An 11,722-nucleotide genomic window follows, 5' to 3' on the forward strand; every position below is an offset into this window, starting at 1 on the left:
ATTTACTTAACGCTACTGTACACTTAAAAATAGTTGATAAAATTGTACGTGTATCTTATCAAAATTTTTTAAAACTAGAAAAGTGGATCCTAGTACTAAGAAAATAGGTCATTTATCTTGTTGGTCAACGTGCTTTGAGACTTCTGACAATTATTTAAGGTTCCCCTTGGGGACTACTTGATGGACAAGGGAGGGGTAAAAGGGTTGAAAAACTACCTATTGGTGTTACAGTAGGTAGCTAATCAGGCATGAGCAGGGCAGGGGAGGTCTCCCCCACCCACCCAGGAATGTCAGGCAACCGTCAGATAGGTGATGGTCAGTTGGTCATTAAACTATAAACTATCTCTCTAAAATAATAACTGGTCACAGCCAGCACCAGGGAAAGGCAGTCTTCCAATAGATAGAAAACAGCTCAAGTTGGTGATCAGCAGCTTCCCGATGAGATCTCAGGTTGGGCAAATGGGCTCATGCATTTGCACTAAGAGGCAAAATGGTGGAGTTTAACTGAAATGTGACCCTTCTCTATGAACATTCAACTAGTAAGGGAAGAACACCTCAAGTGAGCATGTGTACAAGTCCAGTAAACACACTGCGCATGCGGCTACTCCCAGGTGCTGGTAGGCCACTGCACATGCAAGGCAGCCCACTCAAAGGAAAGAATCAGGGAAGGAGGGATGCAACACCCCAGAAGCATACCAACATATAAAACCCTAAGTCCACAGGTCAAACTGCAGGTCACAGAGAAACCTGAAAAACTGAATTCCCAGCCATAAACAGGAAGGGAGATTGGACAGGCCTCACTACAGCCTCTCCCTTTTTTAGTTTAGGCACAAATGCCCAGCATTAACATTAAAGCAGAGATCCTAAGACTGACTAAACAGATTCCATGGCAATAAGATACCAAATTCCAATCTGACTCTGATATAGCATCACATGACAACATAGTGATACAGGAGGTAGAAAACAATTATTTGGGCAGATAGTGAGGGCGAAAGAGTCCTCTGAAGAATTCTTTCCTAACAAAAAGCAGCCCCCAAAATCATTTGTTTTCTAACAAAATCAGCCTGAAAAATTGAGCTGCAAACCTAGAAGAGCAAGCTGGAAGTTTGCACAGGGAAATGCCAGCAGCTGCACCAACAGAAAAAGGCTACCTGGGGGCCAGGGATGTCCAACATGGAGGCTCCATCTTCCCTTTTTTTTTGTTACCACATGTACAGTAATAAAGAAATGGGCAGTATGGTGCAGCTCAGGCAAAAAACCCACCTGCATAATAAAAGATTAGGGTGGGGGCTACCAGAGATTTGTACCCTATGCAAATGACACAACTGGTTTAACCAGTTTTTCACGCCCTATGTAAATCAGACACCACATCACCACTAGCTCATCTATAAAACCCCCTGCATTTCACCGCAGATTCGGCAATTCATTTTTCCAGGACCCCCTCTCTGCAGCAGGGAACTATTCTCTTTCTTTCACCTATTATACTTTCAACCTCATTCTTTGTGTGTTCATGTCCTTGTTCTCCATGGCCATGCAACAACAAACCTCAGGTGTTACTCCCGACAACAAGGCTGCTTCAATAACAGAACCCCAAAGACAAAAATATTTTACCCCAACATATATTTCTTTGACATATTTTGAAATGACTCCTGCAAAGCTGTCTTTTGTGGGGGAAATTTGCATCTGTAGAGAATCTCAATTAATGCAACCAGGCCTTCCCTTTCTAGGCCTTTTTCATATGCACTTTTTAAGTCACTTTTTTCAGTCACCTTTTTCTTATTTTTTTAGTGTAATAATCATTTGTTGATGGCTCTAGGCTTTCTTATGTCTCTTGAGACCTAAGAGAGTTTAAATGAGAGGCTGACACTTTTAATGTCTGAGAAGAGACATTTACGATCTATCCTCTCTGAAGACTGTTAACCAATGAGGCTTTCTCTGCATAACAAGAACCTTGGCCTCCACAACCTCCTTTATCTTCACTCAAGCATTTCTACTGACTTCAATCTTTAGACAAATCTTAACTCTTTCAACCAATTGCCAGTCAGAAAATCTTTGAATCCATCTATAACCTGTAACCATCCCCCTTGAAGATATCCCACCTCTAATCCTGAACCAATATATGCATACCTTCTATGTGTTAATTTATGATTTTATCTACATTCATGTCTCCCTAAGAGGTATAAAACCAAACTAACCCAATTGCCTCAGGCACACTTTCTCAGGACCTCTTGAGAGCCATGGTCACTCATATTGGCTCAGAATAAACCTCTTTAAATATTTTAAGAGATTTTTTTTTAATCAACAAGAATTTTTTTAAAGTCTTACAGAACTATCTGGTTGTTTAAAATATGTACATGTATAACTTTGTTAAAAATAAGAATATAGTTATCTAAAATATTAGAGCATTTATAGTACTATTGACCTTTACCAAAATTATAGCTCTCTTACAGAAATTAAAGCGATTCTTACTTTTCATTTTGGAAAACAAATGTTTCCACCAATTTCTGGAGCTACTGGATGTTTGCCACCAAACTAACTTCTAAATCCTCTGTCTCTCCTCACAGCAAATTTTCTTTACATAAGAAGACAAGGAATAGTAAACATGGGTAATTTAAAATAGAAATAATATAATAACCTGTGATTAACAATGATATTAACATGGTGCCAATTGAAATTTCCTGGAAAATGTAAACAGCCAAGAACATACATCACAGATTATGTCTTGACAATTTGAGAAAACCCAATTAACACTCCTAATATTGTTTGATTCCATAGTAGATGTGTCTAGACATAGGAAGGGAAAGGAGGAAAAAAAGAAACAACAGTTAAATCTTGAGCTGTGAACAGTGATAAGTGTTATGGCATCCTGAATTGAAATATGCAAATGTGGAGGCTTTAGAATAGAAGAAGCCCAAGAAACTACCAAGTGTAAAGCCCTCGTGAAAGAATTCTAACACCCAAAGTAATGAGTTGACTTACCTGTACTGCTTCAATGAAAAACTAATTTTAAAATAAAGCATATTTATTTTCTGTAGTCCTTTATACAGAGACACACTTTAGGATTATAGACCAATTTCATCCCACTAGAGTAGAAAGGGATAGCAATTGATATGGGGAAGCAGAATTTCCACAAAAACTACAGGTTCTCAGGGTACAGTCATGTTTATCTGGCTGATCAAAGGACAAAAGTTCAGTAGAGTGTCCCAGTAGAGGCAGCAGCATGAGTTGGCTGCATCTCCTGTTGCCTCAGACCATCCTGGTGAGCTGGCTCTGTAATCTTACAGAGCCACCAGACTGTGGTCCTGCCTTCTACCTGCACTGCTGGGCAACCAAGGGCAGGACTAGGTTCTAGGGGAGGAATACCCAGGCAATGAAGGCCTGGAGCACTCCATGTAAAAATAATACAAATCCTTTAAAACAGCATATGTAAAATAAATCACAACATATATATTAAACATACAATGGTGCTGAAAATTTGTAATATTCTACAGTTGTTAACTTTTGTCAATTACCTAAGCTTTGTATCTAAAGCTTATAGGCCTTATTCTAAGAATGAGTCTGGTAGCCAAAGAACATTATTTTTTTACAGAATGGTTTGTGCTTGGAAGAGCCTGTGTCCCCAAATGTTTGTGTCCCCCAGAAATTCCTTTTCAAGGTGGTTCCTAAAGTCAAGTCTGCATTAACATCCATTCTTTTTGATTCCAGATTATTCACCCTGTCCACTTGCCTAATTTATGTGTCTTTATAAAAAGACATTTACATATTCCAGAAGTATAAAGCACAGATTCAATTCCAAATGATAGTTCCATCTATATCTGTAACTATTCATTTTAAAATTTATCACAGACACCTAGCATTCAGCTCTATAAAATCTCTCTGCTTCTGATCTTTCAGATCAATGTTTTTTGGTTGATTTGTATGGTTCAGTTATAGAACAATGGCTTTGGTATCATATGGTCCTGCTAATTCTGACTGCTCCACTTACCATGTGAGAAACCTCCCTGAACCTCAGTTTACTTGTCTGTAAAATAGGGATAATAATATACCTAACTCAGAGTGCTGTTTTAAAAATTCTATGAGGATCTGTTAAGAAGACAGCTAAGACAGTACACATGATAGGTATCCAAAAGCAGTCATATTTTTCTTATTTTTTTAGTGTAATAATCATTTGTTGATGGCTCTAGCCTTTCTTATGTTTCTTGAGAAGAAAAGGAATAAAGAATGAAGCCATGTTTAATGTAAATTTCATTATTATTCAGATATGGTGAGACCAATATATCAGAGATGATTGCCATTGAAAAGTAGTTTGTCAGTCACAGTTCCCAAAAGGTAGATCATGCTATGCCAGGCAGGAAAGCACCAGGTTTGGTGAGGAGACAGAGGGAAGAGAGGGTGGGGAATGTGAACAACAGCCTCTATCATGGTTTCCATGGGAAGGAATGGGTGAGGCAGGGTAAGCAGGTTTAGAAATTGTTTGGTTTGATCAATTTCAGTGAGCTGTGAGCTGTAGGAGCTGTCCTGAGCTGTCAGGGTACCTGGCCCTGCAGTGATTGGGGCAGGAAATATTAGTCCTCAGTGTAAGAGCCCGACACAGGAGGTGAAGGGTGTGTAGGTTCTGGACTGGTTGGTTTACATATGAAAGGCACACTTCCAAGGATGAGCAGTTTAATATCTCTAGGAAGTGGCTGCCCTAAGAGGGTCAGTCTCTCCAGGTTTAGCAAGGCCCCAGATGACAAAGCACCAGAAATAGAGAAAATAAAAAGGTTTGATTTCTCTTTTCCTTCCTTCCTTCCTTCCCTCCTTCCTTTTTCTTCTCCTTTCTTTTTGTTGATACAGAGTCTCACTCTGTCATCCAGGCTAGAGTGCAGTAGAGCAATCACAGCTCACTGCAGCCTCAAACTCCTGCGCTCCAGTGATCCCCCCACCTCAGCCTCCCAAGTAGCTGTGACTACAGGTACACATCACCACACCCAGTTATCTTTTTTTTTAATTGGTGTTATTTGTAGGGATGGGGTCTCCCTATGTTGCCCAGGCTGGAAAAGGGATGATTAATACATCATTCTAGATTAGGTTTATAGTAATTTTCTTCAGCCAGCTTAGGACCCTTTGTTGTTTTGCTGTGACCTATTTTTTTCCCTGCAAATATATTTAATAAGGAAACTTGAAGGTCTAGCCATCCGTTAGTTGCAATAACAGGTATCTAGTTAACATTTTCACAATGAATTGGCCATATTTTCTTTCACAATTTCTGCCAGAATTCTTATAATCTCATATGATAATTTATTCTGACAATTTGCATTACTTAAAGAATTATGTTCCTAAAGTGAAGAAATTTAGAAGTATTTTGTATTCAGATAAATTTTATTTTCTGTTTCTCCTCCTTTTTTCCCTTTCCTTCCCTATTTATCTTTCTTCCTTTATTTTTTTCTTCACCTACCAAAGTAAGTCTAAGATAATATTAAGAATGTTATATTTGAGCTCGTATTTCTCTTTGATGTGTCAAAGTAAAAAATATAAAAAATTAATTCGGGTATTAGAGAACAATATACCAAACAACATAGTGTAAAAGTCAGTAAGTCATGTCTCTTATTGCTTGGGGGGAAAATGCCATACTATAACTTATTTCACCTTAAATATTAGGTAGAAAAGTTCTGAAATCTTATCATGTTGAATATTTTATTTTTCTATCTATTAGCAAGTTTATTGATTCTAATAATATCCTTAAGAATTTATTGGTTACTCTTCCATTTAGGATATAGAAGCTCGAAAAAGATTATTGCTCCTATCATAACAATGAGAAAATACTAGATAAGCTTTTTGAAAAAATCTATTTTTTGAACTATTTAAGAGTTTCAGAAGTAATATAATTCCAGAGAGAGGCAACTCATTCCTAGGCCAGCACAGGAGGGTGGCTGCTTCCATCACTGAGGGAAATTATCAAGGCTGGTGGAGGGGCAGCCAAAAGAGAAGCCTGTCCCAGACAGGATTTAGAAAGGACAAAGGGAAACAAATCACATTTTCAATGGTCATGTAGGAGTTGAGTGGTGAAATTCAAGCTAAAGGGAGCCCAGACTCAAAGCTAACCCTCTCATCCAACAATTCTCTCTTGGAATTCTCCCTGCATCACTTTCCAGGTGGTGCCTGGACATGAGGTTGAACAGAAAGCAGAGGTCTCTTTTTTCCACGATGTTTATAAAGTCCTGCTAAGGGTGAAGCCCAAAACCACCTTCACAACATTTGATATGAGTGACAAACTGAAACTAAGTAAAACTGCAAGCCAATCCCAACTCAGATCAATTCCTCATTAGGCTAATGCTCAGGAGGAGAGGAGATCTTGTAGATTATTCTGGCTGAAAGTTAGTTTCCTGTTTTCTAGAGCTAAAATGGCCACCGCTGCTAGTGCTTTAAGGCAGGTTGGCCACCCTTTGACTGTGTTATCTAGTTGTTTAGAGAGATAAGCTACAGGGGCAAAAGAAGGAGGATTTCCTTTCTGTTGTCCTAAGACACCGAGGGCTATTCCTTGGCTTTCGGCAGTATAGAGAGTGAAAGGTTGGGAGATATCAGGTAAGGACAGAGCTGTCGCAGTGAAAAGAGCAGTTTGGAGTTTGTGGAAGCTGGGGAGTATATTATGTGAAGGATTTAGGGTTCATTGAGGGGGCCTTTGGCCACTTCCTAGAGGGGGCAAGATAGGAGGGCAAAGTTGGGAATCCATATTCTAAAGAAGCCTGCTAGGCCTAGGAAGGAAAGGATTTTGCTTTTGGAGGAGGGCGGGGGTAGATTATCTATTAATGCTGCTGGGGCTGGGGTCATAGCCTGGGCCCCAGGGGAAAGTTGAATTCCTAAGTAGGACACCATGGAGGTGGGGAATTGGGCCTTGGACGAGGAGACCCCATATCATTTGGTAGCGAGGAAGTTTAAGAGAGCAGCTGTGTGAGTTTGAGAGTCTTTTAGAAAGGGGCTGCAAAGAAGAAGGTTGTCCACGTATTGAAGGAGACAACTGGGAGACAGGTAATAAGGAGGTGAGGTCTCCGAAGAAATAAGAGCTATCCCTGAAGCTCTGAGGGATGACAGTTCATGTGAGTTGTTGTGACTGGAGGGTGTCAGGGTCAGTCCAGGTGAAAGCAAAGAGGTTTTGGGAATCAGGGTGTACGGGAATGATAAAGAAGGCATCTTTTAAGTCAATTGCGGTGTAGTGGGTGGTGTTGGAGGGGACGAGAGAAATAAGTGTATAGGGGTTAGGGATTACAGGATGAATAGGGAGGACAGCCTGATTGATGGCTCAGAGGTCCTGAACGAGTTGGTATGAGCCATCAGATTTTTTAACAGGGAGGATGCTCTGGGTCTTTGGCAGGTTCGGGAAGGGGAGGTTGGCCAGGTGAGGGGTTATAGAGGAGAGAGAGAGAGACAGAAAGAGAGAGAGATTGAGAGAGAGCAAGTCCTCTAAGGACACCCAGCCAGAGCCTATCCCTTTCTGGGTTTCGGCACCAAAATGTAAGTTTGGCTGAGAGAAAGAATGAGAAAGACCCAAGGTCAGGCAAGTAAGTTTATTAACCTGCTGGGCTGCACCACCACAGTCAGAGAAGGCAGCCTTGAGCTTATAAAATGAGGAGTTTATATAGTGCGGAGAGACCCTGGGGTTGTTGGTTGACTTTACCACATACATCTTGTGACCAGCTTACAATATATTATCCTGTGAATGTAGGAATTTACAAGAGGGTGTAACTTAGGTTTATCCAGATTGTCATAACCTCCCCTGTGCTGCCCTGGGGGCTGTAATCAGGTTTTGCTCAGCAAGTCTGGTGAGGTTGCTGTGGCGCCTAGATAAGGGTTCAAGAATGCAGCTGCAGAGTATTCAGGGTAAGAGTCAGCTGCATTGAGGTGGGGGGGCTCCTGGGGCAGCTTGTCCCTAACAATAACAAGCATTGAGGAGAGTGTGAAGCTACTGGTAGACTCATAAGCTCTTGTTTTAGGAGCTATTTGATGCTCATAGCAACATGGATAAATCTCCAAGTAATTATGCAGGGTGAAAGAAGCCAGATAATAAAGAGCACATATTACAGGATTCCATTTGAATAAAGTTCTATATGTGAGCTAATCTATGGTAACTGAAAACAGATCAGTGTTGCCAAGGAACAGGGTGGGGCAGTGGGAGAGGGGAGTGATTACAATGGGGCATGGGGACATTTTTGGTAAGGAGTTCAATGTTCATTACCTAGACAGAGGTGACAGTTTCACAGGTGTATACCTATGTCAAAACTATTTCAATTGCAAAGTTTACAGTATCAATCAAATGTAAAGGTGATTTTATATCAATAATAATTTTATAAAACTAAAAAAAATACCATAACTATAATAATAAATAAACCAACAGTTTATCTTGTGTCATTTTTTAGAAATACACATCCAAACCAGATTGCTAGTTCATTAAATTCCACAACTAGAGAATCATTCTTTGGAACTTGAATAAAATATGAATAACTAAGAACAGCAACATTTTAAATATTTCACCTCAGCCCAAATTCCATAAAGCGGATCTGCCTGTGTTCTTCATGGTCTGATTTCTCTTCAGCCACAGCTTCCATCTCCCCACCTCACCTGGACCCCAGGCATACAGAACCATAGTCTCAGCTTCTATGCTTTTCTGCATATACCTGCATGCCTTGGCTTCTGCTCTGTGCTGTACCTACAGTACATTTTGCCCCCTTCTGTGTCTGCGCCCGCCCCCCTCTAATCTCCATTCCAGATAAAGTTGATTGTCCTCCTGAAGCATTCCTTTACCAATCACCTCCACCCATCCCCTCCTGCCCAAGCTCTGGCTTAGGATAGATAAAGCTTCTCCTTTTTCTGTTTGCATGGAATCTTCTTTACCTCCATTATCATAATTCAGTGACTGCAATCTTCTCGAAGACAAGGAATACTCTTTCAACACAATGAATGAGCACTAGACCTTACTTAGAGAGCACAAACTATAAACCATAGTCTGTCTGGAGGCCATGAAGCTGTTTTATTCAACCTGCAAAGAACTTGGAAAAATTTGACATTAAAATCTAGGCCAGGCTGGGTGCAGTGGCTTATGCCTACAATCCTAGCAATTTGGGAGGCTGAGGCAGGAGGATTACGTGAGGCCAGGAGTTTGACAGCAGCCTGGGCAATATAGTGAGGCCCCATCTCTACAAGAAATAGAAACATTAGCTGGACATGACGGCATGTGCCTGTAGTTGCAGCTGCCTGGAGGGATAATGTGGGAGGATTGTTTGAGCCTGGGAGGTTGAGGCTGCAGTGAGCAATAATTGTACTACTGCACTGCAGCCTGGGTGACAGACAGAGACCCTGTCTCAAAAAAAAAAAAAAAAAAAAAAAAATCTAGGCCAGCATTCTTGAACAGTAACAAGTCCGAAGAGCAAGAGGCAGTTATGGAGAATGTCCGATTTACAACAATCCTCACCACTCTCCGTTGGCTCCCAACACATACTGTCACTTTCCTTATTTCTTGACTTGGCTGGGGCCTTTTCTGGGTGCAACATTCCCTGGCTCTGATGGGCATTTGACCTGGGATCCATGTTAAATGATCAATCAACATTTTTAAAATGAAGACATTTTTTAGATTAGAATAAATAATTGGAAGAAAAGTCTTTTCAAAAGAGGGGAGAACACGGCTTTTTTGGAACAAGAGTGAGTTGGGGTATAATTTTTTTCCCAGTTATTATATCCCAAGCCAGAGTCATTCATTTTCATGATTTAAAATGTCTCCAAATAGTTCTCTACATTTTTCCAAGGCCAAAATAGTTGCTGTGTTTATTCAAACCACTCCATGCCCATCTAAAATATGTTTGATAAACGTATAGTAAGCTAGATTGATCTTGGTGAAGGAAGGCAGAACTGCTACTTACAGGTGCCACAGGATATGCGTTCAGAGTTTATATACAGCTAATTACAGATATATCCAATTTAAGGTGCTCCTAACAATTTGAAAACATTCTATGATAATTGATTTATAACAAAACACTGGACGCTAATGAAATAACTCAGATTTCATCACCTTATTTCCACTAGAATCTTCATCTTGTCTGCCCACTGCATCCATGATTGCTGTTTGGCTGCTCTTCCCATCCCATTAAGGAAGCAAATAGTTTCCGAAAGTAGTTTAATTGGTGTGTAAGTCAGGAAGCCACTTCTAATTGTAGTTCAATGATGCCGTTTTAAAAGCCACGGTCTGCTGAGGGCCATCCTGGAAGAGAGGGTATTTTATCTGGTAAGGGCGAAGTAGCACATGCGGGAAGCTTTCATTACCGGTGGACTTCTTGAACACAGTAGAGTGGATACGGTATTCTATGATTTCCATAAAACATCTTCCAGAAAGTCACACATAAAAAATCGAAGCAAATAAACAGAAAACCAATTATCAACTACTTCAAAATCATGTTACCTCTAAATCCATAAATATTCTTCCATAATAGAAATGAAGAAGATAAATATATACATTTTTAGAGATTATGAGAAAATTTCCCTTTATAAATGGGGGAAGTATATGTAAGTGATTTATTGTAATTATATAATAATAAACTATCTTTGACTTTCTTGACCATTCTGTTTCTAGGTGACCAGGCTTCACTCCTGCAAATGCCCAGAAAGTAGGGATGCCTGGTGAATGAACGTCTTTATGAGGAAGAGGAAGGTGCTGTAGTCAGTCAGGCTTTGCCAGGCCTTGGTGATATCGAACCCAACATAAAGTCAAAAGAGTCCTGTGATTTGGCCTACCAACTCGGCACCTTCTTTCCATTCAGGGTGTTAGTAATAAAAAACTGAAAAAATGACGCCCGTACTCCTGCTGATGTCCAGCTCAGCAGTTATTAACATATGTATGGTCCCCAAATGCCTCACAGTGAGCCCTGTACATAGTAGTGGCTCAACATATAGTTGTTAATTTCCTGATCTGACCTGTGGTGCACGCCACAGGAGTGTGGTTGATGTGCCACTCCATTCAAGGCACACTTTCATTGGTCTGCGCCCCGCCTTCCCGCCCCAGGTCAACAGAATCTTGAATGCAAATATCTCTAATAGTGCTTAGAATGTACTATAGCAACAGCAAGAAGCAGCTGAGAATGACTGACCTCACTGCATGAAATGAGATTGATGGACAGTTCTCTATGCAGTTACCTTAACTATGGATAGAAATAAGGTAGATAGAGGAATAGACAAGTAAATATGAGTAGAAATAAAGCAATTAGAATTAATTAAAATGTTTCTACCTATTATTTCTTTTTCTTTCTCTCCATACAATACTTAATAAATGCTATACAATGATGTTCTGGTAGTTAGTTTTTAATTCTTCCCAAGGAACTGAAGAAACAGGTGTGTTGGTTTCCTAGGGCAACCATAAACAAAGTGCCACAACCTGGGTGGCTTAAACAACAGAAATCTATTGTCTCACAGTTCTGGAGAAAAGAAATTCAAAACTTATTCTGAGACGTTGGTAGGGTTGGTTCCTTCTGAAGGCTAGGAGGGAGAATCTATCCCATGCCTCTCTCCTAGCTTCTGGTGGGCTGCTGGCAATCTTTAATGGTCCTTCATTTGTAAAAGCATCACTCTGATGATTTCTGCCTTTCCCTTTACATTGTGTCCTCCCTATGTGATGTCTCTGGGTCCAAATTTCCCCTTTTTATAAGAATGCCAGTCATATTAGATTAGGGGCCATCCTACTCCAGCAGGACCTCATCTTAGC

The sequence above is a fragment of the Homo sapiens genome, chromosome 8 (assembly GCF_000001405.40).
Source record: "Homo sapiens chromosome 8, GRCh38.p14 Primary Assembly".
Classification (NCBI taxonomy): domain Eukaryota; kingdom Metazoa; phylum Chordata; class Mammalia; order Primates; family Hominidae; genus Homo; species Homo sapiens.